This window comes from Homo sapiens, chromosome 22, assembly GCF_000001405.40.
Source record: "Homo sapiens chromosome 22, GRCh38.p14 Primary Assembly".
Taxonomy (NCBI): Eukaryota; Metazoa; Chordata; class Mammalia; order Primates; family Hominidae; genus Homo; species Homo sapiens.
In genome coordinates this window covers 42,056,873-42,084,333 of record NC_000022.11, presented here as the reverse complement: position 1 = coordinate 42,084,333, position 27,461 = coordinate 42,056,873, and the positions used below count along the sequence as shown (strand labels likewise).

Sequence of the window (27,461 nt, the reverse complement as noted above, 5' to 3'; positions counted from 1 at the left end):
TCTTTTTAATTTGCTGGAGCAGCTTGCAGAACTCAGAGGAACACTTAGGTCCGTTTACTGGTTTATTATAAAGGATATCACAAAAGATACAGCTGAAGAGATGCATAGGGTGAGGTATAGAAGGGGCGTGGAGCTTCCAAGTTCTCTCCAGGCGTGCCACTTTGCAAAGCCAAGTGTTCTGTTCTCCGAAAGCTCTCTAAACCTGTCTTCTTGGGCCTTTTATGGAGACCTCATTGGATAGGGATGATTGAAGCATGGACAACACTGGAGAAATGGGATTGGACAAAAGAGGCATAATCTAATACAGATGGAGTGGGGAAGTCCAACAAGGCCTGTCTACATTTCTTCCTCTCAGGTATGGGGCAGAATCCCTTCTGAAATGGGGGTCTCATGACCTAAAATCAGACAAGGTAGGTCAGAGGATTCTTTTTATGGCCAACTGGAAGACGGGCAAAGGAAGATTATACTTTTAGTTTCTATGGCCTGCCTTGGGGAGAAAAAGCAGCAGGTGAAAGGAGGTCAGGAGAAGATCTGAGAAACAGCCTGCTGTTTTCTGAGGCCCGAAGTGCCCAACATTATAACAAAAGCCTAAAACAAGGGTTTTGGGAGTTATAAGCCAGGAAATAGATGAAAACCTATCTATATCCTCATATCACAGAACCCGAGTTTTGAATCATTCTAGTTATATTTAAGTAGTATGCTAACAAGCAGAGCTGTCATGACTGGCACTGAACACAGAATGGCATGAGGCTTTAGTTAGCCCATGAAGCTTTCTTAAGGGAAAATGCACAGTTTCTGTTGGGCTTTTGTAAACAATGAAAATAGTTCCCAGGGCCCCCAGAATAGTTCACCAGGCTCCACTGCAGCCTGGATAGCCTGGGCCTATGTTTCTCCCATAAATAAAGGACAGCAGAGACAACTGCACCAACTAGAACCTAGGGATACTGAGAAACTGCAGCCATCACTCAGTCACGCACGGCTGATATTTATTATGTTTATTCATAATTTGATTGCTTGTTTGTGCAGTGCTTAGTGGACAGCACATCTCAGGGAGCCTCCCAGAGCCTGGGGTGGAATACGGTCATGGACCATACAGGAAGCTTCACCAGACTGGGAGGCTGAGGGCCTTCCCCGAGCCTTTCTGCTGATAGGGAAGGCAGAGAAACTGAGAGCATCACCATTTCTTCAGTTAGTGCTTTCTCCTTTCTGTAATTCCTGTAAGAAAGGAAAGCAGCAGTGAACTGGGCAACAGCGTAGTCTTCCATCCGCAGACTGAAAGAATTCCACAAAGTGCTTCTATCAAACATGGCAGGAGAAAGGCAGCTTTGAGCACGTTTGGTTGTTCATGCGCACGTTAACTGGGCATTCACCACAGGCCAGGCACTGGGGGCCGCAATGTATAAAAAACGTCCCCTGCCAGCAAGAAGCTCAGAGTCTAGTAAAATTTTGCTTTGTGTGTGTTTAGCCACATAATACCGAGTATTTGAAGAGAGGTACTGGTTGCTTAGAGGAAGGAGCCGTCAACTTTCAAATGAAAGGAGGAACGAAGACTTCAAAGACACTGTAGAATGGGTGGAATTAAGACCCAGAGCTCTGGGAAGGAGCCTTCCATGTGGGAGGAACAATGAGCCAATGTTTGGGGGTGGGTATGAGTGTGAAAACTCAAGAAATGGTGAATACTGGGAATCGGTGTGTGGCTGGAAATATGGAAGATGAGACTGGAATAAGAGGTGTGACCAGATTATGGCAAGCCTTGAATGCCAGGCTAAGGAACAGGAGTGTCCTCATCTCTTGACAGAATGCCATGCAGCACATATTAGAGCACATGAAGTTGGCTGGGCGCAGTGGCTCACGCCTGTAATCACAGCACTTTGGGAGGCCAAGGTGGGTGGATCACCTGAGGTCGGGAGTTTGAGACTAGCCTGGCTAACATGGAGAAACCCCGTCTCTACTAAAAATACAAAATTAGCCAGGCACAGTGGCGCATGTCTGTAATCCCAGCTACCCGGTAGGCTGAGGCAGGAGAATCGCTTGAACCTGGAAGGCAGAGGTTGCAGTGAGTCGAGATCATGCCATTGCACTCCAGCCTGGGCAACAAGAGCGAAACTCCGTCTCAAAAAACAAACAAACGAAAACATTAGCCACCAAGTGGGCCAATTCATTAATGCTTCTGCCCCCAGTGTCCAAATGCTGCTACCAGGCCAGACTGCATCACAGACAGATGCTCCACCCTGCTTCCTGCTCCATCTAGGGTAAAGCAAGTCTTACCTGTTAGTCATCATCATCATCATCCTCTGGAACAAAAATGTCATGTTCCTCAAGTAGAGCAGCAAAGTTCTTGCTAATGAGTGTCCCGACATAGAGAAAGGGGATCACAATGGAGAACACACGGAGAAGGCCGAAGGACATCTGCAGAGGGTCAGAGTGGCAGCTGTGAGCTCCAGAGCCCACTCTGGCAGGACCAAAGAAGACCTGGCCCTCTCACAGACATACCCTCAGACCCATCATAAGCAACTTGATTTTAAAGTCCTTGGAAAAATTCAGGGCAAGAAAAGTAATTAGAAAAGGAGAAGGCCAGGCAGGGTGGCTCACACCTTTAATCCCAGCACTTTGGGAGGCTGAGGTGGGTGGACCACCTGAGGTCAGGAGCTTGAGACCAGCCTGGCCAACATGGTGAAATCCCGTCTCTACTAAAAATACAAAAAATTGACCCAGCATGGTGGTGCGCACCTGTAATCCCAGCTACTCGGGAGGCTGAGGCAGGATAATTGCTTGAATCCAGGAGGCAGAAGTTGCAGTGAGCCAAGATTGCACCATTCCACTCCAGCCTGGGAGACAGAGTGAGGCTCTGTCTAAAAAAAAGACAAAAGGCCGGGCGCAGTGGCTCACACCTGTAATCCCAGCACTTTGGGAGGCTGAGGCGGGCGGATCACGAGGTCAGAAGTTCGAAATCAGCCTGGCTAACATAGTGAAACCCCGTCTCTACTAAAAATACAAAAAATTAGCCGGGTGTGGTGGTACATGCCTGTAGTCCCAGCTACTCAGAAGGCTGAGGCAGAAGAATCACTTGAACCCGGGAGGCGGAGGCTGCAGTGAGCCAAGATTGTGCCACTGTACTCCAGCCTGGGTGACAGAGTGAGACTCCGTCTCAAAAAAAAAAAAAAGGAGATAAGGTGACTGTTATGGCCATCAAAATGGACGAAAAGTCCACTGGAAAGAAAAGTCTAAGGCACCCTAGACATCTAAAGTTAGGACACAGCCTGCTAATTACTTTAAATCCCTACAGGCAATCGGGTGCACCAGTACTAGGAGGGCCAGACTACGGTGAGCTCTGCCTGAACACGAAATACACGAAAACCGATGACAGAAAGATGTACAGTGAAGGGATATTCTACACAGTTCACTAAGTAACAGGTTCCCTGATGCCTGAGAAATTTGATTTAAAAATTTTAGAAACAGATGTATTTGAAAGTGGGCATGTATTTACACTCAAAGACTTTAGATGGATTGGGAGAATGTCAGTAAAATCTCAGCAACATTTCTCTCGTATTCCTAGAATTAAAAAAATTTTTTTTTCAACTGTTTTGATAAGGCAGGTCTTTCCCAACATGGACCTACAGTCAATTGTGTGAGTTAGCATAGGCTAGACTAGCTTTAAGAGAATTTGTTTTTTTAACTCCCACACCACACAGCCCTGCAGTCGTAAAGCAAACTTTCGCTTGATATAAGGGACTGTTTCCGTTTTCCCTAGAAAAACTCAAGCATGTGATAGCGTTCAGTGTTGGAAAAAGACAGGACCTGGTGGGGACGGTACCAGGAAGAAACCCGGATGCTGCGTCCTCAGCGCTGGCCTTGGATACGAGCTTCACCGCTCTAGCCCGATTCTTCATTTGAAAACCCGTGATTGTAATAATTCCCTGCACATCTATCAGGACTGTAAATCACATGAATTAAATATTAGGTGACAACTAATAAAAAGATGAGGCCCGTCCCACGTACCCTTTATTTACAGAGTCCTTTCAAAATTCATATTTCATCCCATAAACTAGGAGACAGGCAGGGCAGAGATTACAGGACTGCTCTAAGCTAGAAGCACACGGCCTAGTCTTCTGACTCCAGAGGAGCAGAGCACCGCACCTCTCAGGACAAGCTAATGTAAAAGGCCAACTTCCTCAGCGTTTGCCCCCCATCTTCTGTCTACCTACCATTTTCTACACACCTGTCAAAATTAGCAACTCATTAGCGTATTCTTGGTCCGCCTTCCAGTCTACGGTAATCGTTATGATTGGCCTTGGCTCCTATCAATCAGCGCCGCCCTCACGCACTCCCCACAATGATTGGCCTCAGCCCCTTCGCCCCGTCTCCAGGAGGACACTCACTTTCACCGGTTTGGGCAAAATGGCGCCGCTGCGGGTAACGATGACTGACCTCGACGGTACCAGGCTCCGGCCTGAGCCGCTCCATGCGGCGGAGACATCGCCATCTTTCCTCAAGCTAGGCCCGCTCCGGAGAGCCCCGGACCTGACGGGTGCCAATACTAGCCAGCGAGCCGCTCCGGACGCCATGCCCCCAGCTCCGCCCCTCACCCGGGCACCCGCACCCCACCGCCCAGCCCTCGTGCCGCCCTCGGGAAGAAAGCCGCCCGAAGCCTCGCGAGAGTTTGAGGAGTACACGAGAAGCCCAGCCCTCCCACTCGCGCAGTGCCGGCGGCTCCTGGGGCGGCGGGAGGGAGGTGTTTGTCACTGGCCGGCATGGTGGCGTCACGAGAGTGGCGGCGCAGCCCCGGCTCCCTCAGTCCGCGTCCTGCTGGGCGTGGCCGCGGTCTTGGGTCCGCCCGGCCGTCAGAACAGGCCTCAGCGGCCGGTTGTGGAAATAAACCCAGGGAGCGGAAGGAGTAATAACGAAAAAGCTTTACTAGTGTTTTAACCGTGTACAAAACACTGTAGCAATAAGAGAAAGGCCCGTGCTATCTGTGTTTAAACAAAATGCAGTGGCTGCGGGGCTTCCAGGCAGGGCTGGGGAACAGGCCGGGCGCCCGCCTTGGGCGCATCTCCGCCTCTTAGGGGTAAGAGGCTCAGAGCCTACCCCTTAGGCCTAGTTGGATGCGGGTCGGTCCTGCCCAAGGCCCCAGTGAGGGGAGCCGAGGCTAGGAAGGGGCAAGTTTTATGTGTTTGGGAGGGGGTGTCTCTTCCCGGCCTCTGCGTCTTCCCCCTGGAGCGTCAGTATGGTCAGGCTCTGGTGACCCAGCCGCTTTGCCTCCCGACTTTGGGAAGAGTAGCAAGGAGAGGTCCTGGCAAGTACACCCTGGGTGACAAACGGCTATGAGAGTTCCCAGGTGATTTCTCGAGCAGCTTCAGTTTACCGGAGCCCAGCCAGGAGAGAGAATTTTAGCACAGGAAACGCAATCCCGTGTCCAAGCTCCTAGAATACCCAGGACTGAGAACCAAAGCAACAGACTTTTCCCAGGGAGCCACACTGCCTCCCCACCTCTTCTTTAACCCCTCACTTGGCAGCTCCAGGAGTTGGCTGCTGAAGACAGAGTACAGGAGGGCATTTCGTTGACGTAAAAAAGCTACAAGCCCCTTCCGGGGCAAGGTCCAGCACCATCTGTTAACAGGGCAGCCAGGGAGAAAGGATGGGACCCCAGCACTCTGAGCAGAATAAATCTCTCTTCACTGGCCGAAGACCCTCTGCCTCAAAGGGCCCTACCCAGACTGCTGAGTGAGGATCCCATCCCCAATCTTCCCACCCCTCTCAGGAAGAGCTGGGTCCCAGAAACTCCTATGACACAATAAATCCACTTTCTCTGACAGTGTCAGAGCTTCAAGCCGATACTGCAGCCTACCTCGGATTTAAGTGCACAGGAGACTCCCCAGGTTGGAAATTATGGCTCTAGAGCCCGGTGTGTAGGCCAAAGGTATGGCAAGCCTGTGACAGTCTCGGGTGACATTCCCCACTTCCTTCATTTCATTAACATCCCCTGGGAGGGGGCAGTCAGGCCAGTGCAGTCAGGAGATTGGGGTCTTGCTCTGTGGCTGCTAAGTCTCCTTCCTTCTCTGGACCTCAGGAAATAAAGAGGATGGAAGGAATGGTCCCGCAGTCCCTTCCAGACACACGGGTGGATCTCGAACCTGGAGAATGCCTAAATAGCAGGAAGGAGAGAACCCATGTCCCCTCCCAAAACGCAACCTTGGAAATGGGTAAACATTTAACTCCTGAAAAAGAACTGGCCCTGGTTTCCTGACTCAAAGGGCCCAGACTTAGGGCCTATCCTGTTCCTCACATTTTGAGTGGCTCCCCTGGGCCCTCTTCTGCCAACACTGCCGCAGCTCCACGATCTCCTGGCCATACCAGTCATGCAGGGTAGAGAAGCAGGAGGTCTCAGGGGACACAGGGCTCTGCCCCTTGCCTAGGAGGAGGCTGGCAGGGCCCTGCAGCTCCCACTCAGCCAACCCCCACCCTGCAGACCTGCTGCCCGCTTCTTCAACCAAGCCCACAGGGCTGCTGTCCTTGGAGAGGCAGTGGCCATTCTCCAGGCCCGCAGCTCGGTGGTTAGGAGCCTGGGGCTTACAGCGGCTGGCAACAGACTTCCAGGATGAGCGGCGTTGCAAAGCCAGGCTCTGGCGTGCGTCCTGCAACTGGCTCTCCAACTCGCGTACCACCAGGCGCATGTAGCCAAAGCTTGCCCGGGACAGCACCTTCACCCAGGCCTCCTGGGCCGCCGGCCCTTCTGCGGCCAGCAGGTGTGGGCGCACTCCAGGGGCATCAAAGCAGATGGCAAAGGCAAACTCCTCGGGCACGGGAGCCTCGGCCAGTTCCACTGTGCAGCCTTCCAGCACCACCAGGCTCAGTGGGGCCCGGCCCTCGCGACTCTCAAAGGAGAATAGCAGGTTGCCCTTGAGGACAAACCAGCATCTTCGGCCAGTGCCACTGGGGGTCGGTGGGGTCCCTGGGCCCCCCCAGGTGCGCAGGAAGCCCATGTGGTCCGCTGGGGAGTCGCTGAGTGCATAGTGGGCTACACTCCTCTCGTTCAGCTTCATGGCTCCCACGGGAACTGTGAGGCAAGAGAGATGGCAGCAGATCAGAGAGGGAGGTGGTTCCGTGCCCTCCTGGGGAACAGCACCGGCTCCAGAGGCAACCTGGACCCCAGCCCTGGGACTCCTACTCGCTTGCTGTGTCCCTAAGGTCCCTAAAGTCTCCTGAGAAGTGGGCTCGTCTTTCCTTCCTTTTCTCTCAAAGGGATGTCGTGAGGATCATGCAAAAAAAACTGGACACTGGCGGACTTCGAGAAAAGAATAACGAGATTGCATCAGACAGGAGGCATGGCAGGACCTGGGCACGGCTTTCTAAAATCCAAAGAAACAGGCCCCAGCTGAGCTGAAATGGACCCCAGACCCATCGAAACCACTGTGCTTAAACTATCCCCTCATCTGGGGTCCTCTCAACTCCAACTCTGAGGCCAAGCTTCCAGGGTTTCCATGACCCTCCTGGGCCTCTACTGGCCTCTTATTTGCATATAGCTGTTGAATCTTATTGACCTACAGGCAGAAGCTGAGGCACAAATATAACTTTAAAGAGTTTACTTGAGCGAGAGTAAGGATAACTGCCCAGAACAAACTTCTAAGTTGCCGTGGGGTGTGCTGCGTTGGGCCTTTCCTACAGGTTTTTATAGGCAGAAGGGGGCAAGGATGACAAAGTTGTTTGGCAGGAATTCTCCTTGGTTTATAGAAATAACATTGATTGGTGGGGTGCGGTGGCTCACATCTGTAATCCCAGCACTTTGGGAGGCCGAGGTGGGTGGATCACCTGAGCTCAGGAGTTGGAGACCAGCCTGGCCAACATGGTGAAACCCCGTCTCTAAATACAAAAATTAGCCAGGCACGGTGGTGGGTGCCTGTAATCCCAGCTACTCGGGAGGCTGAGGCAGGAGAATTGCTTGATCCCAGGAGGCAGAGGTTGCAGTGAGCCAAGATTGTGCCATTGCACTCCACCTGGGTGACAAGAGAGAAACTCCATCTCAAAAAAAAAAAAAGAAATAACATTGATTAGTGATTGGCTATACATTGTTGAACTATAGGGTATGAACTATAGGGTGTCCAGTGTACAGCATTTTATGGCTACTTGGTGTCACTCTAGAGCCACATAGCAAGTGGCTTCAAGAGGTAATTCTTGATCCTTTTGTAGTTCATGAGCGTGATGATTGGGTGTTCACATGCATGTGTGAGCTGTGCCACCCTCGAACCTTGTTACCATGTAGGCACATTACCGATCTGACATGAAGAAAAGAAAAGAAAAAAAAAGAAAAAGAGATAATTCTTTAGCTCAAGGGAGGAGTAAGACTTGACAGCTGTTGCGTTTCAGTATGTCTGGGCCTGATTATTTAAAGGGGCTCCAATTCCTCAGATAAAACATTATTTTTCTGTCTCAATCTGCAGCCTTCAGGGCCAGATGGGGAGCTACTCTGTACACAAGAGTGTGGCACAAACCCAGGGTACAGCTGAGAAGAGCTAACCACAGCCATTGAATGTGGGTGCCCCCAGCATCATGAACGGCACTTAGTCCAGCTGTCCTTACTCATGGAAAACCAAGGCCCAGCGCAGTGAGGGGAACTTGCCCAAGGTTACATGGCCAATGAGACGCAGAGCTTCGTCTCCCAAATCCCTCACACTGTACCCACTTACCAGCAGGGCTCACTGGGGGAGGGCAGGGACCTCTTGTCTGGCCACACAGCTCAGCCCTTCGACCACCTGGTTCCCAGGGAACCTGCAAAACAATTCTCAAGCCCAGTCAGCTTATCCCAAAGAATGAGAACTCCTACTCCACCTTCGAGGCCTAATGAAACCACAGCCTCCACCGGGAAGCCTTCCCTGACCCCTGAGAATCCCCCCACCCATCCACCCAGCCAGGAACCCCTGAGCAGCTTAAGGGGATGGGTCCCCTTGTCTTGACCTTTACTCTTCAGACCCCAGCTCCCTGCCTGAGTCCAGGTCAGAGCTACACATGCCCTCATGGTTCCTAGCTTTTCCCTTCTAGCACTTCCTGGCTTTAACTGAAGTCACCTAATCTGGGAGGCCTTCCATGATCACCATATCATCTAAGGTGGCCCTGACCACCAAGGTGGCCTGACCTAAGGTCACCTGACCAGTAGACCCCCCCATTTCTGGTTTGTTTCCTTCATCCCACGACGATGTCATATGTGTTTACAGCACTGTTCCCAGCCCCAGAATGTCTAGGGTGGGGCTCAGCTAAGTTCCCAGGAGAACCCCAATACCCAGCACCGTGCAGGGCTCAGAGAGGCCCTCAGGAGGGATCTGTTGAATTAATGGGGATACATCAGTGGACAAATCGAAGTCTCCCGCCCTCCTGGAGCCTACATTCCCACAGGGGGAAACACACTGTAGGCAAACAAAATAAATACTAATAAATTAATGAAAGAATAATTAGTGAAATAAGAGATAACATAAGGACCGGTAATGCTAAGGGTTATGGAGAAAAACAAGCCAGGCCCCTGGATGGGGAGAGACGCCATTCCAGTAGGGGGGGCCCAGGAAGGGGGAAGAGATCACAGATGTTTGCCAGAGGAGTGGCCTCACTGGGGGTCCTGGGCCCAGCACTGGGGCACAGGGAGGGGGTGGGCAGCCCGTGGGGCCATGACCCCTCCCCTCCCCCGCGTCTGGGGAAGGGCGCTCCCTCCTCTCCACCAGTAGGGGGGCCAGGCCACCGCACACCGGGCCTCCCGCCCGCCCCACCGTCTTCCTGGATTCTTTTGTTGGAGGAGAGGCGGGCTGGGGGTGCGGGACCGCCGGGCCAGTGGCCACTGCGGGGAGCCCCAACCCGGTTGTCGCCCTAAACAGAGGTCACCTCGGTCAGGGTCTCCCTGGCTGCCGCCTTGGTTTCCCCGTCCTCGCGTCGGGGCTGTTCGCCGCCACTTCCCCGCGGCCACACCTTCCCTGGGGCCACCTCCTCCCGGAGCCCGCCGGGCCCACTCTCACCTCCCGCCGCCGATCGCACCGAAGCCCAAGAGGGCGATCCCAGCTCGAGATCCCGCGCCTCCGCCTGGGCTGCAACGTGGCCGCGGGAGCCGGGAGACCCCGCCCGGGAGGCTGGAGTTAACGCCCCTCCCCGCCCAGTATTCGCCAGGCCCGGGATCTCCGAGGCCGCCTCGAGGTCTGCCAGGGCGGGAAACTGAGGCCCGAGAGGGCGGTGAACTGCCCGAGCCACAGCACTGGTCGGTGCGGGCGGCCTCGAACCCAGAGGCCCCCCTCGGACGGTCCGCGGGCCTCGGACCCAGCCCACCGTCCGGAAAACTCTGTCCATCTCTTCCTCTCTGGTCCCCCTCTCCCTGCTCGGCCCACTTTCCCGGCAGAGCCAAACCAGGGATGTCTCTGGGTACCTCCCTAGGGTGGGCTCCTACACAGCCCGCGAGGGCCAGCCAAGCTTTGTTGGCCACCCACCGGGCCACCGGGGTCGGCTGATTTCTGCCTCTGGAAATTACCCATTTCTGCTTCCCTGGCCTGAAACCCACCGGCAGCCCCCAGGCTCTGCACTAGTGGGTGGAGGAGGAGGCCTGCGGTGAAGGTCGCAGGAATGCACAACCAAACCCAAGAGACTGGAACTTCTGGAAGGCCCTGGAAGCCGGAGGTGTCCTCAAACATCTGCCCATGAACCTGGCTCCCGCCTCAGAGCCTTTGCCCTTGCAGTTCCTGCAGCCTAGAATGGCCTTCCTTCCCACCCCCAACCGCAGCTCCACTCCTCAGGACGCCTCTGGACACAGATTTGAGTCTCTGCTCAGTGGTCTCCTCTGGGACCATTGTAAAGCAACCTGCCCTGCAGTCTCTGTCCCATCCCTGGGGTGTTATTTCCATCAGAGCACTCACTGCTAGAGTAAACTTTCCTATGCTCATGCTTTTATTTTCTTGTTTATTGCCTGTCTCCCCTACTAAATTTTATTCAGTTAATACTGTACACCATAATAAATGTGTTAGAAGATAATAAGTGGCATGGAAAAACAGAGGAGGGTAAGGGAGATGGGAAATTGTGGGAGTAGGGAGGTTGCAATTGCAAATAGAGTGGTCAGGGTAGGCCTCACTGAGAAAGTAACATTGGACAAATACTTGAAGGAAATGAGGGAGCCAGCCATGCCAATTCCAGGCAGAGGGAACAGTCAGCGCAGTGGCCCTCAGGCCTGTTGTGCTTGAGGACCTGCAAGAAGGCCAGTGAGGCTGGGAGGCCTGGGGAGGGGCAGACAGTAGGAGGTGGGGGTAGAAGGGGTGGGATGGGGCTCTGTAAATCTGGGAGGGCTGTTACTCTAGACAGGGCTGTGAGGAGGGACCTGAGCGATTTCAAGGCATACTCTGGCTTCTGTGGTGAGAATCAATGTCAGTGGAGGCTGGAGACCAGTGAGGAGCCTGCTGCCACTATCCAGGCGAGATGTCACAAACGCGGCAAGAGCGGGGAGGGAGAGGCAGCCAGAATTAGAATGGCTGTTGAAGGTAGAGAACACAGGATTTGCTGAGGAGTTGGATGTGGGGAGTGAGGGAAAGAGCAGGCAGGACTGCACAGTTTTGGCTTGAGCACCTAGGAGAGTTGTCATTATCTGAGATGTGGAAAGTGGCCGGTGCTTGGTCTGGGTTATGTTTGAGACACCCAGTGGCCATCTGAGTGAAGGTGCTGTTGGGGCTCAGAAAGCGATGCCTAAAAATATGGCACTTGGGCATGCTGAGTACTTTGAACCAAAGGACACTGGAAGAGCCTCAGAAGCAAAGTATCTCTCTGACCTTCTCCTGCCCCCCTTCTTTCTCCTGTTTTTCTCCTGCAAGGCAGGCCATAGAAACTAAAAATCCTCCTCCCTAAGGTGAGTTATAGCAACTACAAATATTGGCTGGGCACAGTGGCTCATGCCTGTAATCCCAGCACTTTGGGAGGCTGAGGTGGGCGGATCACGAGGTCAAGAGATCAAGACCATCCTGGCCAACATGGTGAAACCCCATCTCTACTAAAAATACAAAAATTAGCTGGGCATGGTGGCGTGCGCCTGTAGTCCCAACTACTTGGGAGGCTGAGGCAGGAGAATCGCTTGAACCTGGGCGGCGGAGGTTGCAGTGAGCAGAGATCGCGCCACTGCACTCCAGCCTGGTGACAGAGGGAGACTCTGTCTCAAAAGAAAAAAAAAAAGAAAAAAAAGTAACTACAAATATTACTGGAAACATCCCCCACCTTTCTGTGTCGGGCCTGGCCATAAAGGAATTCTCTGATCTACCTTGCCTGATACTAGGTCATAAGACTCTCATTCCAGAAGGGGTCCTGCCCTCCTCCCAGCAGGAGGGAATGCCACACAGAGAGAACAAGAAGAATCCGAATCTGAACAGACATTGCTGGGTTTCCACACTCAGCTATTAACATTAAATCATTCCCTTTTGTCTAATCGCGTTTATACACAGTTGTCCATTCCTTATTCCTTTTTTTTTTTTTCTGTTGCCCGGGCTGGAGTACAGTGACACAATCACAGCTCACTGCAACCTCGACCTCCTGGACTCAAGCAATCCTCCCACCTCAGCCTCCCGAGTAGCTGGGACCACAGGCACCTGCCTGGCTTTTTAATTTTTTGTAGAGACAGGGTCTCACTATGTTGCCCAGACTGTCCTTAAATGTCTGGCCTCAAGCGATCCCCCTGCCTCAGCCTTCCAAAGTGCTGGGATTACAGGCATGAGCCACCAGACCCGGCCAGGGCTGTCCATTCTTCATCAAACCGAGACATAAAAATAAAGATTTCCCTGAGTATTTGTGTCTTCATTCCTGAAGGCTCTCAAGTCACATAAAACATTGAGTAAATCAATCTATTATGCTTTTCTCTTGCTAACCTATATTTTATTTGTAGGAGTGTCCGCTGTGACCTTTGGGATGAGTAAGGGAAAATATCACACCTTTCTGCCCCTACAATGCCCAGAACAAAGCATTTGGCACTTAGCAGTTTCTCAATAAATACTTGATGAATGAATGAAGAAGGAAGTAGCCCAGTCTGTGCGAGTAGTCCCTGAGCGTCAGGCGGGGAAGGAGAGCCGGCTGCCTTTGCGGGAGCTGTGACCGCCTGCTTTGGTGCCTCCCACGCACCCTCCTTGTAGAGACGATTAATCCCAGACTTCCATTTTCCTAGCAGCTCACTAGGCGGGCCTTGCTTCAGAGCAGTCTCTCATTTCCTCTGCACAAAGCCCTCAACCGTCCTCTGCACGGCCGCTTACTGAGCGCCCACGGTGAGCCTGGCACGATCCTTGCCCTCTTGGTCCCCACAGAGGTGGAAGGACAGGCCTCGCGGGGTCCGGGCCACGAAGGACAGCCCCGAGTCCGTTCTGCCAATGCCTGCCTCGCTAGCACGCAGGGCGGGAGCCCAGTGGGGAAGGGCTTAGGGAGGCTGGGAGGCCGGACCCATATGGGCGGGGCACAGCGTTGCTAGGGGGGATTCTGATAGGTTGCGCGAAGGGTTGCCTTCGTGAGGCCCCGCCCTCACTGGAACGCTTCGGACTTATCAGGTTACCGGATTCGAGTCAGAAGCGGCGGCAGGTCTGAACGCTTCGGTAGGATAAGTGCGGTGGGAGGGGGCTCTGCGGTTTTGGGGAGCCCAGGGCGGGAACCCGGACCCGGCTGGAAGTCCGGAGCCTGGCCGCAGCCCCGCCCCTCCGCTCTTTCTTGGTGACCTTAAGCCAGTGGCTGCCTTTTTCTGAGCCCGGGCGGGGCCGAAGGCGGCCCGTAGGCCCTCGGGACTCCCAGCACTGCAGAGGGTGTGAGGTCTGACATCCAAGACACGTTGTTTCGTATTTCTGAAGGAAGAACTGAAGCTCCGGGAAGTGATGGCTGGGGATGGGGCGGGCAACTTGGGGACCGAGTGTACGATCCACGCCTAAGGTTGAGGGCGGCCGAGCTAGCCAGGCAGCCGTGACCCCAGTGCTTTTCAGACGTTTCTTAGCTTCCAGAGCCCAACACATACAGCTGATACACGCAGACCAGATCTGGTCAGGTCCTCGGAAGCTGAGTCCAGAGCGATGCTGCTGAAGACAGGTACCTACACCGGCTGGGGTGGCTTGGAAGGGTAGGGGTGAGTGCTACAAGGAGTGCTTTGGCCCTTCTTCCCTAATGTGGGTATGTGGAGAGACAGGTTCCTCTCTCTTTTACTTAGAGCTGGGCAGGAAGGGAGGAGATGCTTCCCCATACGGGAATCATTTCTCCTTCAAAGGGGCCCTTCCTTTCTCACTTCCTCTCCCTCAAGCACAGAGGCCCTAACTGATGGATATCAGCATGTGCGGAGAACCGCCTGTACAGTCCCTACAGTAACTCCATATTACAGATAAGGAAACTGAGGCCCGAGGGGGAAAGGTCTCACTTAGGTGAGCTGATTGGGTGCCCATCCTGGCTGGCTTACTTCTTAAGCCTCTCTGAGGCCTCTTGAGGGTCTGTGGTAGAGAGCAAAGAGCTCTGGACTGGGGCTCAGGAGACCTGGAGTCTGGCCAATGGTCCCGACTTAACGATTTTTCAACTTTACTGTGGTGTGAAAGCGACGCACATTCAGTAGAAACCACAGTACGTATACAACCTGTGTTTCAGTATTCAGTAAATTGCATGAAATATTCAACAATTTATTATAAAATAGGCTTTGTGTTAGATGATTTTGGCCAGCTGTAGGCTAATGTGCGTTGTCGCACTTTTTTTTTTTTTTTTTTTTTGAGACGGAGTCTCACTCTGTCACCCAGGCTGGAGTGGAGTAGAGTGGCGCGATCTCGGCTCACTGCAACCTCCATCTCCCAGGTTCAAGCAAGTCTCCTGCTCAGCCTCCTAAGTAGCTGGGATTACAGGCACTCACCACCTCACCCCGGTATTTTTTTGTAGTTTTAGTAGAGACAGGGTTTCACCATATTGCCCAAGCTGGTCTTGAACCCCTGACTTACGGTGATCCGCCCACCTCGGCCTCCCAAAGTGCTGGAATTACAGGAGTGAGCCACCGTGCCTGGCCTGTCCACATTTTTAAGGTAGGCTAGGCTCAGCTATGATGTTTGCCAGGTTAGGTGTATTAAGTACATTTTTGACATAATATTTTCTTTTTTATTATTTTGGGATGGGGTCTCGCACTGTCACAGCCCAGGCTAGAGTTCAGTGGCACGATCTCAGCTCACTGCAGCCTCCGCCTCTGGGGTTCAAGTGATCCTCTTGCCTCAGCCTCCCGAGTACAGCGCATGCCACCACGCCTGGCTAAGTTTTTGAATTTTTAGTAGAGACAAGGTTTCACCATGTTGGCCTGACCTCAAGTGATCCACTCGCCTCGGCCTTCCAGAGCGTTGGGATTACAGGCATGAGCCACTGCATCTGGCTGATGTGATATTTTCAACTTACACTGGGCTTATGAGAACGTAGTTCCGTGGTAGGCCTAGGAGCATCTGTACTGTTAAGTTCTATATATGGGATGGGAGGAGCTGATGGGGGTTATAGGAAGGTTAGGACATAAGGTGTTAGTTTTGCTAATTCCAGCAATGCTGTGGTGACGGCCAGACCTCAAGCCACTGCCTGGCCCAGGCACCATCCTCCCACTTACTGCTTTGCAAGAGCCAGCCATTGCAGGAAGAGCCAATTCTACCCTAAACCCAGGAGTCCAGTTTCCCTTATATATAGGCAGGCAGCCTCTGTAGGGCTGAGCAACATACAGATGGGGTGGGATGAGGGCTGGAGCTGTGGGGGCAACTGATAGTCACCATCCCCTCCTCCCTTGCCCCCTAGTGCTCTTGCTGGGACATGTGGCCCAGGTGCTGATGCTGGACAATGGGCTCCTGCAGACACCACCCATGGGCTGGCTGGCCTGGGAACGCTTCCGCTGCAACATTAACTGTGATGAGGACCCAAAGAACTGCATAAGGTGAGTAAGGTCCACACTCACCTGATGAGCCTTGCCCAGGGCCCTGCAGATTCGGGGGCAGGAAGTGGAGAGTCCACTAGAAAAGAGGGCAAGGTCAGAGTTCTCCATCCCAGAGACTGCAGCCAGAAGTCACTCGGACTGTCTGACACCTAGCCCCATGACCTGTCTGGAGCCTCTGCAGGGACTCTCAGGCCCCAACCTGGTCACGAGGCAGGGACCTTACATGGACCCAGCCCCTGAGATAACTCTTAGAAGGTCAGGCCAGGCCCCCTGTACTTCCCCTGACCCAGTCCTGCCTTTTAGCCTGGGGCCAGCCACTCCTTTCAAGCCAGCTTGCTTATGGCTCATCGCACAATCTCTGGTGGTCATTTACACTGATACCTGGCTTAGGGCTCAGCAAGGTCATGGTTTTTATAGCCCAGATTCAATCAGAGCTGAGGCAGGGTGTGGGTGAGGGCCGGGCTGGGTCCCTGAGCTACCCCATCCCTCTGCCCCTCACTAGTGAACAGCTCTTCATGGAGATGGCTGACCGGATGGCACAGGATGGATGGCGGGACATGGGCTACACATACCTCAACATTGATGACTGCTGGATCGGTGGTCGCGATGCCAGTGGCCGCCTGATGCCGGATCCCAAGCGCTTCCCTCATGGCATTCCTTTCCTGGCTGACTACGTGAGCCGCACCCCAGCCCTGCCCTTGGCCTCAGGGCTAGACCACTCCTTTCACCCTACCTCGCTTAGGGCTCACTTACATGATTGAGATCTCACAGTCTAGTGGGGGAAACAGACAAATGAACACCGACTTTTGGCCTATTCTGTTGAGTGAGAGCCAGAAAGGGCATCTCACACAGCCTGGTATTCTAGGAAGGTTCCCTGGAGGAGGCATTTCTTGAGCTGAGCCCAGAGAGATGGCATTGGAGGCAGAGAGGATGGCAGGAGCAAAGGCCTAGGGGCAAGAAACAGCCGCTGGGAGGTGTGTGTTGGGGGAGAGGTGGGCCATCATGGGCAGAGGCCGGGCCAGCATGCTGGGACCATCTCCTTTGGTCCGTGGGAGCCACTGGAGGTTTAATGGGACGGGGTCAGATATGCCTTGAGGAGGCTCCTTGAGGGTCCTGCTTGAGCCCACTGTGTCCTCAAACCCCCACAGGTTCACTCCCTGGGCCTGAAGTTGGGTATCTACGCGGACATGGGCAACTTCACCTGCATGGGTTACCCAGGCACCACACTGGACAAGGTGGTCCAGGATGCTCAGACCTTCGCCGAGTGGAAGGTAGACATGCTCAAGCTGGATGGCTGCTTCTCCACCCCCGAGGAGCGGGCCCAGGGTGAGTTACGCAGCTGGCTGGGGCACGTAGGCAAACGGGGAGGGTGGCCATGGAGACCCACCCAGCGCCCACCTGGCTGAGCTTCCCAATTCCCCCTACCCAGGGGTTAGGGGGATTGTGGCTCCCAGGCTCCCTAAATATGAGTGGCAGCATAGCCCACCCTGGAAGCATTTGAGGCTCTGGGTATGTGGGGAGGCACCTACTGTTTGGAGCTTGTTTCTTCACATCTGTTGGGAAAAGGTCTGGGCTAAGGCCCCAGACTGCCTCCTGCACTTCCTCAGGACTGAAACAGGTTGGGCTTTCTCTAGGGTACCCCAAGATGGCTGCTGCCCTGAATGCCACAGGCCGCCCCATCGCCTTCTCCTGCAGCTGGCCAGCCTATGAAGGCGGCCTCCCCCCAAGGGTAAGCCATTCTGCCCCCTGCCTGATGGCGCTTCCCACACCCAGGCCTCCTTACCTCCTGAGTGCCAGGCTTCAGGGACGGGGCCTTCCAGAGCCAGGGCTGCTCTCACCACAGGTGCCCATATGGTGATTTGTAGGTGTCTAGAGACCTACATTAAGTAGCCGCAAAGAGCAGGTGGGCTCAGCCAGCCCAGAGAGGTGTGTGTGTTGGAGGGAGTGGCGGGCCTTAGAGAAGAGGCCCTTGTGAAGTGGGCTGAAGGAGTTGGCATCAGAGGCAGGAGAGCCATCTGTGCTGGCACACAGTGCCCAGGATTCCAGGAGGTGCCCATTAGGCGAGGAGACCCAGAAGGCTGGGGAGGCCAGGCAGGTGGGGCCAAGCCTCAGAGGAGCCTGTGGGCTCATGAGGGCTCCCTTAGCATGTTTGACACCAAAAAGGGTGGGCTCAGGCCTCTGGAGCTGAGAAGAAAGCAGACAGCAGTTTCTCACTGAGAGAACATGGGGGTGGGTGGGTGTCAGGGAGGGTTGTTTGTGGGTGCACCAGCCTGGGCCCACACCCTGGGTTTGACCCAAGCTGGCATGAGAAGGCAGGGTAGGCTCCTGGCACCAGCATGCACAGAAGGGAGACCCCGGTAGCCCCAGAGCAGGGCCACCCTCTGAGGCCCTCCTCATCCTGAGCAAGCCGGTGGGGCCTGTTCTCTTCCCTCTTCCCCACTCTCTGTCTCTCCTGCTGAGCCTCCTCAACTCCTGTGTGGGTCCCTGGGCTGCAGCGTGTGATTCTGGTGCTGGACTCTGCCTTCCCCTCGACATCCAGGTGAACTACAGTCTGCTGGCGGACATCTGCAACCTCTGGCGTAACTATGATGACATCCAGGACTCCTGGTGGAGCGTGCTCTCCATCCTGAATTGGTTCGTGGAGCACCAGGACATACTGCAGCCAGTGGCCGGCCCTGGGCACTGGAATGACCCTGACATGGTACCAGGATGGAGGGGGATGTCCCTAGGCCCACCATCTGTGACGACCCTGCTCCCCACTGCCCTGTGCTTTCTTCCTTCTTGGAGGCTCACTGCCGGGTTCTAGGTCAGCGCTTCTGAAATGTGTCCCTGAACTGGTTGCTTTAGACTTGACTTAGAAGCTGGTTTCCAGGGCCCCATCCCCCACGTTTTGCATCACAATGTTCAGGGGAAGAACACTGTTAACCATCTCCCCAGGCAATTCTGATGTTTCTGAAAGCTCAAGAACTTGGGTCTGTAGTGACCCTGGAATAAGATGTTATTGCTCTGCAGGTTGAAGATCACGACCTTGCTATTCCTAGTGCCTGGACTGCTCTCCCCCGTGTGCCTCTGATCCTTTTGTCAATTTCCTGCCTCATCCTCCACAGGGACAACTGGCCCTCACAGTCCTGCTTCTAGCCCTTCCATTCTATCTCGGTCATTGCCCTGTGACATTTTGTTGTTGTTGCAATTTATAGCTTTATAGTTATCTGTTAGTCAACAAGCATTTACTACCTGATTGATCCTATGATGATTATAAGAATTACAAGTGCTAAGCCAGGTGGAGGGAGCAACCTGGAGGAGCAGGAACTGGCCTGCTGTGGAGTCCCAGCTCTAGCTCTGCCACTTTACCTCGGGCAAGTAACTTAATTTGTTCTGTGCCTCAGTTTTGTCAATTGGAAAATAAGAATAGTAGCTACCTTATAGGGTTGAGGGTTAAAATAACTCTGAAATGCTTGGCACAGTGATGGGCACACAGTGCTTAAATTGTTGTCACTAAGCCTGTAATTGTGTCCTGACTATGGATTGCTTGCCCTGGGGTCAGGAGTCCCCCTTGGTCCATTCAGCTGTGGCTAGGGCAAGTGGGTGTGGCCAGTGGTAGGTACAGGGACTTTGTCCCGTTCTGTTTCTTACCACTGTCACCTTGGGACATTTATTGACTTGACCTAGTTTATAAGCTTTTTGACAACAGGAGCCCATTTGATCATCTGAACAACCTGTGATGTAGCCAGGGCATATTACCACCCCCATCACCCCCATGGGGTTTTTGTTTTTTATTGATTTATTTATTTTTTGAGACAGAGTCTTGCTCTGTCGCCCAGGCTGGAGTGCAATGGCGCGATCTCGGCTTACTGCAACCTCCACCTCCCAGGTTCAAGCGATTCTCCTGCCTCAACCGCCCGAGTAGCTGGGATTACAGGCGCCTGCTATGACACCCAGCTAATTTTTTTTTTTTTTTTTTTAGTAGAGATGGGGTTTCACCATGTTGGCCAGACTGGTCTCAAACTCCTGACCTCATGATCTGCCCGCCTCAGCCTCCCAAAGTGCTGGGATTACAGGTGTGAGCCACCACGCCCAGCCTATTTATTTATTTATTTAGAGACTGAGTTTTGCTCTTGTTGCCCAGGCTGGAGTGCAATGGCATGATCTTGGCTCACCGCAACCTCCGCCTCCCAGGTTCAAGCGATTCTCCTGTCTCAGCCTCCCAAGTAGCTGGGATTACAGGCATGCGCCACCACGCCTGGCTAATTTTGTATTTTTGGTAGAGATGGGGTTTCTCCGTGTTGGTCAGGCTGGTTTCGAACTCCTGACCTCAGGTGATCTGCCCTCCTCAGCCTCCCAAAGTGCTGGGATTACAGGCGTGAGCCACCGCGCCTGGCCTTTTGTTTTTTGAGTCAGAGTCTCACTCTGTTGCCCAGGCTGGAGTGCAGTGGTGCAATCTCGGCTCACTGCAACCTCCACATTCTGGTTCAAGTTATTCTCGTGCTTGAACAAGTAGCTGGAATTACAGGTGTTTACCACCACGCCTGGGTAATTTTTATATTTTCAGTAGAAATGAGGTTTTGCTATGTTGGCCAGGATGGTCTCTAACTCCTGGGCTCAAGTGATTCACCTGCCTCTGTAGCAGGACCAGCCGCAGATAAAACTCCTCAGACACCAGATTAAAGAAGGAAGAGGTTTTTATTCGGCTGGGAGTGTCGGCAGACTCGTGTCTTAAGAGCCGAGCTCCCTGAAAAAGAAATTCTTGGCCTTTTTAAAGGCTTACAACTTTAAGGGGTCCATGTGAAAGGGTCGTGATACATCACGCAAGCGTGGGAAACGTGACTGGAGGCTACATGCATCAGCTAACAGAACAAAAAGTTTTACAATGCTTTTTTCATACAGTATCTGGAATTTGCAGATAACACAAGTAGTTTAGGTCAGGGGTTGATGTTATTATTATTACTTTTTTTTTTAACTCCTAGGGCCAGGTGGTGGTGCCATGGTTGTCTGGCTATTTATCTTACTTTTGTTTATTTCCAACTTTTTGCTTTTTCTCTCCTCCTGTCTTGTGAACTAGGCAAGGTTGGGAGAGGAGGGCAGCAGGAGTAGTAGTGGTCTCCTTCCTTACCTCAGCCTCCCAAAGTGCTGGCATTTACAAGCATGAGCCGCCGCACCTGGCCATCTGCCCACCCCCCTACCGCCGACTCCTGTTCTTGATGGAAAATAAAAAGCTGAAGCTCAGATGGAAGGTGACTTAACTCCCCCAAGGCCACAGGGCTAGGGAATGGTGTTTGCTGAACCAGGCCTCCTCCACATACAGCCATCTTTCCCTAATCCCTAATTGCTCTTCCTCGGCTACAAGTTTGGGGATGGTCCCTGTGTCTACCTCCTTGAGGAGATGAGAGCTGACTACTCCTCTTCTCTGCCCCCAGCTGCTCATTGGGAACTTTGGTCTCAGCTTAGAGCAATCCCGGGCCCAGATGGCCCTGTGGACGGTGCTGGCAGCCCCCCTCTTGATGTCCACAGACCTGCGTACCATCTCCGCCCAGAACATGGACATTCTGCAGAATCCACTCATGATCAAAATCAACCAGGATCCCTTAGGCATCCAGGGACGCAGGATTCACAAGGTACTAGGGTGTGGAGGGAAGGAAGGGGAGGGCTGAGGAACTGGGTTCTCCTGAGAGAAAGGCTGCCAGCCTCCCTGGGGGCAACACCTGGCGAGGTACAGGAGTCGCCCAGTCCCCAACCAGGGCTACCCCTTCTGGTTGCTTATGGTTGAGGACTCTGATGGGAGCTGCTCCAACTGTCCTCCTCTTGCTGGGTGAGAGCAGGGCTGAGCAGGACAGCTCAAGGGAGTCGGGGATGAGAGGTGTCAGCCACATAAGTGCACATAGCAAGGGTGAGGCACAGAGCTTCTATACACCCGTGATGGCCTGCAGAGAGCTTGGACTTCCCTCCAGAGCAGGAGGAGCTGGTCTGTTTGTTTTTGAGACAGGGTCTCACTCTGTCACCCAGGCTGGAGTGCAGTGGCACAATTTCGACTCACTGCAATCTCTACCTGCCAGGTTCAAGCAATTCTCGTGCCTCAGCCTCCTGAGTAGCTGGCACTACAGGCGCCTGCCACCACACCCAGCTAATTTTTGTATTTTTAGTAGAGACACCATGTTGGCCAGGCTTGTCTCGAACTCCTGGCCTCAGGTGATCCACCCGTATCAGCCTCCCAAAGTGCTGGGATTACAGGCATGAGCCACCGCACTCGGCCAGGAGAAGCTGTTATAGCCAAGGAATACTACGACTACTGGTGGCTGCTATTTATTGAGTACCTACCATGTGCTGGGAGTTTTAGATAATTTTTCTCAGCAAGGTAGTTATCTTGCCATTTTACAAATGAGAAAAATGAAACTTCGAGAGTCTGAGTAACTTTATCCCAAGGCTACACAGTTGGTACAAACAAGACTGGACTTCAGTGTCACCTCAAAGCCTTTTTTTTTTTTTTTTTTTTGAGATGGAGTCTCACTCTGTAGCCCAGGCTGGAGTGCAGTGGCACCATCTCAGCTCACTGCAACCTCTGGCTCCCAGGTTCAAGCGATTTTCCTGCCTCAGCCTCCCAGGTAGCTGGGATTACAGGTGTGCGCCACCACACCCGGCTAATTTTTTTTGTATTTTTTTCAGTAGAGACAGGGTTTCACCATGTTGGCCAGGCTACTCTCAAAACTCCTGACGTCAGCTGATCCACTGGCCTCGGCCTCACAAAGTAATGGGATTACAGGCATGAGCCACTGTGCCTGTCTGCCTTTGCTCTTTACCAAATCCTGGATTCTGGTAAAAAGAAACCTACAGAACTATGGAAGGCACCTATAGAACTGGTGATGCCCAGAGGAAGTAACAATTCCCTGCCAGAGGGGCTGATGGTGGAGCTGGGCCTGGAAAACCTTCTGGAGGATGGGAGTTCACATCCAGCTCCACTCTCCACCCTCCTGGAACAGAGTTCACTGTTCCCACTGGACAGCACCCTCCAGGCCAGCACTGGCAGCTGTTTGGGGCCAGCACTCATACGCTGTACTGTTGTTGCGCTTCCCTGTTTCTGCGTTTATCCCTCCCGTTGTCCTATGAGCTTCTGGGGCAGGGCCTCATGCAGCACTTGTCTCAGTGTGCTAGCATAGGGGCCGGGCTCAGAGTAGGTGTTGATGAGTATCTGCTGAGTCAGGGAAGGTGGGCAGATAGGGTTAGATAAGCTGGGGTGCTGGAGGCCCGTGGCATCCTCCCTAAACCTGTGTGACATGGAGCTGTGAACTGGGGGACCCAGAACTCAGGGAGGGCCAGGGAGGCAATGGTAGGTCCTGTCTGAGCAAGGGACCCCAGCCAGTAGCCACCTTCTGTGCCCAGGAAAAATCTCTCATCGAAGTGTACATGCGGCCTCTGTCCAACAAGGCTAGCGCCTTAGTCTTCTTCAGCTGCAGGACCGATATGCCTTATCGCTACCACTCCTCCCTTGGCCAGCTGAACTTCACCGGGTCTGTGATATATGAGGTGAGCACCCGGCTGCCTGCAGCCACCCGCCTGGGCTTCAGATTTCTGTGGGAGGGTATTATGGGGGGTGGTTGTTCACATATGGCCTCCCCTGAGCCGTGGGCTTAGGGCCTCTGGCAGGTGCCCATGGGGAGCTGCAGGCACTGAGAGCTGCAGCCAGTGCCGTGCTCTGCACCAGTATTTTCAACCTATGCAAACAGAACTACTGCATATAAATATGAATCCCATTAGCCTCTACGGCTGTACTCCTCCCAAGGGTCAGCCCTTGCTGGCACGTTCCTCACAGTTTTCCATGGGCTGGGGCTTTCTCCACTGCCCGTGCTTGGGCACCTGCTGGATTTGCTGGTGGAGAAGTGATGGGGATTCAGGGCTCCCACTTCTGTAGGGCATACTGGAAGCCCAGCACAGACAGGCCAAAGTCCAGGCAGAAGGCTTCTACATCCTCTAGCGGGGGGGGTCTCTGTGCCGCCACTCTCATGGTGGCATTGGTGATGTCCCTCCCCACTGCAGGCCCAGGACGTCTACTCAGGTGACATCATCAGTGGCCTCCGAGATGAAACCAACTTCACAGTGATCATCAACCCTTCAGGGGTAGTGATGTGGTACCTGTATCCCATCAAGAACCTGGAGATGTCCCAGCAGTGAGGAGCTGGGACATGTGACAGGCTGTGGTGGCACCACTGAGCCTAGACCATGGAGCCTTGGCATGCCCAGGGCAAGTGGGGAGGTTCTCTGCTCCCCAGGCCTGCTCGGTGACTGACCCCATCATACCCAAAGTGCAATCTCACGGCCAGGTTCTATGCCCTGTCCAAGCGTAAACCCTCTTGGAAACTTCTTTTGGGGCAATTTTCCTGTGGCCTTCCTGGCCTCTACTTCCATGTGCGCAGCCCCACAGACGTTGCTGAGCAACTCGCCAGCCTCCTGAGCTCCATGCCCATCAGGACTCTAGCCTCTGACCTTGCTGTTGACTCTGAAATCAGGATTTGGAAGTTTTCGAATTAGGAGTAGAGAGATCTGACCTCTTGCCAGGAATGCCCATGGATCATGTGATTGGCTTTTCTACCCATAGAGGGCCTTGCAGCCTGATACCACCTGGGAGTGAGGGTCACAAAGGAGACCTTGGCTCCCTCAGGTCACCAATAAACCTGTTCTTTAATCAAGTAGTTGTAATATGGACCTGGGGTACCTTTAGTTAGGGACTCTGGTGGCACTACACGGGGTGCTGGATTCAAATCTCACCTCTATGGATGATGTCTGGCATCGTCTGGCCCCTCCTTTTCCAAAGTGACCAGAAGATTGTACTTCCTAGAGATGCCAGACTTGCCTCACACCCAGGAGCTGCCCCTGCTGTGCCTGGTATGCTGGCAGTGGTGATGGTGACAACACAATGAGGCCAAGTAGCAATGCTCCCAGGTCCTGCAGCTTGTGCTCTGCCCAGCAGTGCCCCTGGCCCAGCACCTCAGCCTGCTCTTCTCTCTGGTGGCTCCACCCCAACCCCTACTTCTTTTCCTTTATTTCTCTCCCAACCTGGCTGCAAAGGAGGTTCATATTCCCCAGATGTGTCCACAAACCTGTCCAGGAGTTGTGTCTTAAAATTGATTTCCTGTCCCTCTTCCTAAGGACAGGGGTAACAGTCAAAGTGAAGGAATGATGGGTTCTTGCCTGTCTTGCTTTGGTCCGTATTTCCCAAGCCCTCCTCTTTTAGCCAAGGCTACAGGGCACTTGTCTTCCCTGGTGGCTCTCCCCTTTGGAGAGAGCTAGTGGCAGAGCAACCTAGCTAGGTCCTCCTTGGGCTTTGAATGCAGGAGCACCCAGTGCCCCAGGCCTTGCACTGTGCTGCCCAAGGAGTATTTTCTGGGTGGATCTCCCATACTCCTCAGGGTTCTGAGGTCCTTGTATTTAGGGTATGGTGTAAAAACTTACATATGCACATTTTGTTACATCATTTAAGATGATTGAAGCTTTACTGGTTAAGTATAGGGTCACCAGAGAAAGTTCCTTTCCCCAGTTGATGTCTTGAGGCTGTTGAGAAACTTAGGACAGAAGCCTACCTCATCCCAGGCCTGCCCCTCCGTGCATAGCTCTGCCTTTGGGTCTTGTTCATAGTGCTGTTCAGGCAAAATGGAATAGTCTCAGGTGGGAACACCTTCTCTTGCTAGCTCCAGGAAGGCTTTGTGGGAAATGAGTTGAGACCATGGACTTGGGAGTTGGGGGCCAGAGTTGAGCCTGGACTTGACCAATTAATTCCCTTACCTTTCAGCCCAAGATAGCTACATGTCTTTACTTGCTGTATAAGTTTTCCTTTTGTCCTGGGGGTGCCTGATTGATCCTATCTCTTCACCCTTCATTCTTTCAACAAACATGCCATCTATCTCCCAGGACATTTATTCCCTTCTATTCAAGGCCAGTTAGGAATGCAATTATTTTTTTTTTTCAGTTAAATACAGACTTGTTTGGACGCAAGGTACCCTTTCTCTTTTTAAAAACTTTTTATCATGAAAACTTTCAAATACAAAAATAAAATGGTAGAGTGAACCTCCATGTACCCAGCATCCAGCTCCAGTAACCATCAACGTGTACCATTATTTCATCTCTCTTCCTGCACATGCTCTTCTGATGTGTGAGCTAGAGTATCTGAAAGGAAATTTCAGAAAACCCTAAAAACCACTATGTCTCTAACAGATAAGGGCTTTAAAAATACATATATGAGCCGGGCGCGGTGACTCATGCCTGTAATCCCAGCACTTTGGGAGGCTGAGGTAGGCGGATCACAAGGTCAGGAGATTGAGACCATCCTGGCTAACACGGTGAAACCCCATCTCTATTAAAAATACAAAAAATTAGCCGGGCATGGTGGTGGGCGCCTGTAGTCCCAGCCACTCGGGAGGCTGAGGCAGGAGAACAGCGTGATCCTGGGAGGCGGAGGTTGCAGTGAGCCGAGATGGCACCACCATACTCCAGCCTGGGTGACAGAGCCAGACTCCATCTCAAAAAAAAAAAAAAAAAAAAAAAAAAAAAAAAATATATATATATATATATATATATATATATATACATACACACACACATATATGTGTATATATATATATATATATATGACCTTAATACAATTTTCCTATCTAAAAAAACATAATTTTAAAATAATCTAATAACCAATCTATGTTCAGTTTTTGCCAGTTGTCTCAAAAATCTCTATAGTTTGTCTAAATCAAGATCCAGTAAAATAGTCCAGTACGAACTACTGAAAGTTTGCTCCCTTCATAAAAGCATTGAAAAACCTGCCACATACTATCAAAATCAACTTTCACAGAACTCTGGAAATTAGCCAAAAGCTTGCGGCAACCCAGAAAACTTCAACTGAAAAAAAAAAAAGTTGAATTCTAGTAGAAACAGCAAGCTATGTGGTATTTTACCTTATTACCAGATTTTAAATCAGCTATTTTAAACATGTTCAAAGAGCCAAAGGAAGCCGGGTCTAAAGAAATAAAGGAAAGAATAAGAATGATGCCCAAACAGAATAACAAAGAAGAGATAAAACTGTAGTGGGGAAGAAAGCACAAATTCTGAAGTTGGAAAGTACAATAGTTGAAATGAGAATTCACTGAAGAGGTTTAATAATAGTAGATTTGACAGAAAAAGAATCAGCAAACTTGAAGACAGATCTGTTGAAATTAACCTCTCTGAGAAAAAGAAAGAAACAAGAATGAAGAACAATGAGCAAAACTTCTAAAACCTTTGGGATACCACCAAATGTACCCATATACACATAAAAAAAGAGAAAGGGGCAGAATATTGGAAGAAAGAATGGTTGAAAATGTCTCACATTTGATGGAAAATATTAATCTACCTATCCAAGAAGCTCAGTGAACTCCAAGTAGGTTAAACTCAAAGAGCTCCATACCTAGACATATCATAATCAAACCCTCAAAAGACAGAATTTTGAAAGAGGCAAGATAAAAGCAACTCATCACACAAGGGAGTCTCAATAAGATTTACAACTGACTTCTCATCAGAAACCATGGAAACAAGAAGGCAATGGGTACATTTAAAA

The 27,461-nt window shown here is 52.3% G+C and overlaps 4 protein-coding genes, 1 long non-coding RNA gene and 1 pseudogene across 11 annotated transcripts in view, besides 14 other annotated features; 3 read left to right on the top strand and 3 right to left on the bottom strand.

Moving 5' to 3' along the window:
- On the bottom strand, window positions 50–4,634 carry SMDT1 (single-pass membrane protein with aspartate rich tail 1). 4 transcript variants are annotated; one of them, NR_146715.2, is made up of 3 exons: window positions 4,429–4,634; window positions 2,269–2,409; window positions 50–1,215 (listed from the first exon to the last, which is right to left on the bottom strand). NR_146715.2 is itself a non-coding variant. In NM_033318.5 (3 exons), exons 1-2 carry the CDS (start codon window positions 4,563–4,565, stop codon window positions 2,272–2,274), a joined length of 324 nt encoding a protein of 107 aa, NP_201575.3. In that variant the 5' UTR covers window positions 4,566–4,634; the 3' UTR covers window positions 50–1,215; window positions 2,269–2,271. The 4 variants fall into 4 exon arrangements, 2 of the variants coding, with proteins under 2 accessions (NP_201575.3, XP_011528811.1); NR_146717.1 differs by lacking the exon at window positions 4,429–4,634 and adding an exon at window positions 4,220–4,385; NM_033318.5 differs by having other exon boundaries at window positions 4,380–4,634.
- Window positions 4,117–4,889: an enhancer, noted in NCBI's record as "H3K27ac-H3K4me1 hESC enhancer chr22:42475449-42476221 (GRCh37/hg19 assembly coordinates)". NCBI's record gives its function as "activates a minimal SCP1, AML or CMV promoter by ChIP-STARR-seq in naive H9 embryonic stem cells {active_cell/tissue: H9 hESC(naive)}" and the evidence as "EXISTENCE:reporter gene assay evidence [ECO:0000049][PMID:30033119]".
- On the bottom strand, window positions 4,896–10,086 carry PHETA2 (PH domain containing endocytic trafficking adaptor 2). The gene is made up of 3 exons (NM_001002034.3): window positions 9,993–10,086; window positions 8,682–8,763; window positions 4,896–7,054 (listed from the first exon to the last, which is right to left on the bottom strand). Exon 3 carries the CDS (start codon window positions 7,038–7,040, stop codon window positions 6,261–6,263), a length of 780 nt encoding a protein of 259 aa, NP_001002034.2. The 5' UTR covers window positions 7,041–7,054; window positions 8,682–8,763; window positions 9,993–10,086; the 3' UTR covers window positions 4,896–6,260.
- Window positions 4,915–5,209: a silencer, noted in NCBI's record as "tiled region #7943; K562 Repressive non-DNase unmatched - State 2:TssF". NCBI's record gives its function as "represses a minimal TATA promoter and a strong SV40 promoter by Sharpr-MPRA in K562 cells {active_cell/tissue: K562}" and the evidence as "EXISTENCE:reporter gene assay evidence [ECO:0000049][PMID:27701403]".
- Window positions 6,130–6,692: an enhancer, noted in NCBI's record as "H3K27ac-H3K4me1 hESC enhancer chr22:42473646-42474208 (GRCh37/hg19 assembly coordinates)". NCBI's record gives its function as "activates a minimal SCP1, AML or CMV promoter by ChIP-STARR-seq in naive H9 embryonic stem cells {active_cell/tissue: H9 hESC(naive)}" and the evidence as "EXISTENCE:reporter gene assay evidence [ECO:0000049][PMID:30033119]".
- On the top strand, window positions 8,173–8,275 carry SNORD13P1 (small nucleolar RNA, C/D box 13 pseudogene 1; annotated as a pseudogene).
- Window positions 9,035–9,329: a silencer, noted in NCBI's record as "tiled region #6008; K562 Repressive non-DNase unmatched - State 23:Low". NCBI's record gives its function as "represses a minimal TATA promoter and a strong SV40 promoter by Sharpr-MPRA in K562 cells {active_cell/tissue: K562}" and the evidence as "EXISTENCE:reporter gene assay evidence [ECO:0000049][PMID:27701403]".
- Window positions 9,303–10,033: an enhancer, noted in NCBI's record as "H3K27ac-H3K4me1 hESC enhancer chr22:42470305-42471035 (GRCh37/hg19 assembly coordinates)". NCBI's record gives its function as "activates a minimal SCP1, AML or CMV promoter by ChIP-STARR-seq in naive H9 embryonic stem cells {active_cell/tissue: H9 hESC(naive)}" and the evidence as "EXISTENCE:reporter gene assay evidence [ECO:0000049][PMID:30033119]".
- Window positions 9,569–9,948: a silencer, noted in NCBI's record as "silent region_13819". NCBI's record gives its function as "represses an Ori minimal core promoter by ATAC-STARR-seq in GM12878 lymphoblastoid cells {active_cell/tissue: GM12878}" and the evidence as "EXISTENCE:reporter gene assay evidence [ECO:0000049][PMID:35858748]".
- Window positions 10,034–10,766: an enhancer, noted in NCBI's record as "H3K27ac-H3K4me1 hESC enhancer chr22:42469572-42470304 (GRCh37/hg19 assembly coordinates)". NCBI's record gives its function as "activates a minimal SCP1, AML or CMV promoter by ChIP-STARR-seq in naive H9 embryonic stem cells {active_cell/tissue: H9 hESC(naive)}" and the evidence as "EXISTENCE:reporter gene assay evidence [ECO:0000049][PMID:30033119]".
- Window positions 13,212–13,261: an enhancer, noted in NCBI's record as "active region_19153". NCBI's record gives its function as "activates an Ori minimal core promoter by ATAC-STARR-seq in GM12878 lymphoblastoid cells {active_cell/tissue: GM12878}" and the evidence as "EXISTENCE:reporter gene assay evidence [ECO:0000049][PMID:35858748]".
- Window positions 13,442–13,741: a silencer, noted in NCBI's record as "silent region_13818". NCBI's record gives its function as "represses an Ori minimal core promoter by ATAC-STARR-seq in GM12878 lymphoblastoid cells {active_cell/tissue: GM12878}" and the evidence as "EXISTENCE:reporter gene assay evidence [ECO:0000049][PMID:35858748]".
- NAGA (alpha-N-acetylgalactosaminidase) lies at window positions 13,492–26,000 on the top strand. Of its 3 annotated transcripts, none has more exons than NM_001362850.1 (10): window positions 13,492–13,571; window positions 13,968–14,052; window positions 15,760–15,895; window positions 16,398–16,569; window positions 17,044–17,221; window positions 17,530–17,624; window positions 18,435–18,596; window positions 21,310–21,507; window positions 23,267–23,410; window positions 23,921–26,000. In NM_001362850.1, exons 2-10 carry the CDS (start codon window positions 14,037–14,039, stop codon window positions 24,053–24,055), a joined length of 1,236 nt encoding a protein of 411 aa, NP_001349779.1. In that variant the 5' UTR covers window positions 13,492–13,571; window positions 13,968–14,036; the 3' UTR covers window positions 24,056–26,000. The 3 variants fall into 3 exon arrangements, with proteins under 3 accessions (NP_001349779.1, NP_001349777.1, NP_000253.1); NM_001362848.1 differs by having other exon boundaries at window positions 13,961–14,052; NM_000262.3 differs by having other exon boundaries at window positions 13,522–14,052.
- Window positions 15,617–16,486: an enhancer, noted in NCBI's record as "H3K4me1 hESC enhancer chr22:42463852-42464721 (GRCh37/hg19 assembly coordinates)". NCBI's record gives its function as "activates a minimal SCP1, AML or CMV promoter by ChIP-STARR-seq in primed H9 embryonic stem cells {active_cell/tissue: H9 hESC(primed)}" and the evidence as "EXISTENCE:reporter gene assay evidence [ECO:0000049][PMID:30033119]".
- Window positions 15,617–18,227: a biological region, named in NCBI's record as "CDK7 strongly-dependent group 2 enhancer GRCh37_chr22:42462918-42464117".
- Window positions 16,221–17,420: an enhancer, noted in NCBI's record as "CDK7 strongly-dependent group 2 enhancer chr22:42462918-42464117 (GRCh37/hg19 assembly coordinates)". NCBI's record gives its function as "activates an origin of replication core promoter dependent on BRD2, BRD4, P300/CBP, MED14 and CDK7 cofactors, with strong dependence on CDK7, by STARR-seq in HCT116 cells {active_cell/tissue: HCT116}" and the evidence as "EXISTENCE:reporter gene assay evidence [ECO:0000049][PMID:35650434]".
- Window positions 16,487–17,357: an enhancer, noted in NCBI's record as "H3K4me1 hESC enhancer chr22:42462981-42463851 (GRCh37/hg19 assembly coordinates)". NCBI's record gives its function as "activates a minimal SCP1, AML or CMV promoter by ChIP-STARR-seq in primed H9 embryonic stem cells {active_cell/tissue: H9 hESC(primed)}" and the evidence as "EXISTENCE:reporter gene assay evidence [ECO:0000049][PMID:30033119]".
- Window positions 17,358–18,227: an enhancer, noted in NCBI's record as "H3K27ac-H3K4me1 hESC enhancer chr22:42462111-42462980 (GRCh37/hg19 assembly coordinates)". NCBI's record gives its function as "activates a minimal SCP1, AML or CMV promoter by ChIP-STARR-seq in primed H9 embryonic stem cells {active_cell/tissue: H9 hESC(primed)}" and the evidence as "EXISTENCE:reporter gene assay evidence [ECO:0000049][PMID:30033119]".
- LOC107985551 (uncharacterized) lies at window positions 18,604–21,118 on the top strand. The gene is made up of 2 exons (XR_001755557.2): window positions 18,604–18,701; window positions 20,955–21,118. It is a non-coding gene; the product is annotated as an uncharacterized LOC107985551 (long non-coding RNA).
- Window positions 25,963–27,461, bottom strand: part of WBP2NL (WBP2 N-terminal like) — a 59,584-nt gene continuing 58,085 nt past the window's right edge. For both annotated transcript variants that reach the window (XM_047441173.1, XM_047441175.1), the window contains exon 9: window positions 25,963–26,044. The gene's annotated coding sequence lies outside the window, so the exon portion shown is untranslated. The remainder of the gene's footprint in view (window positions 26,045–27,461) is intronic.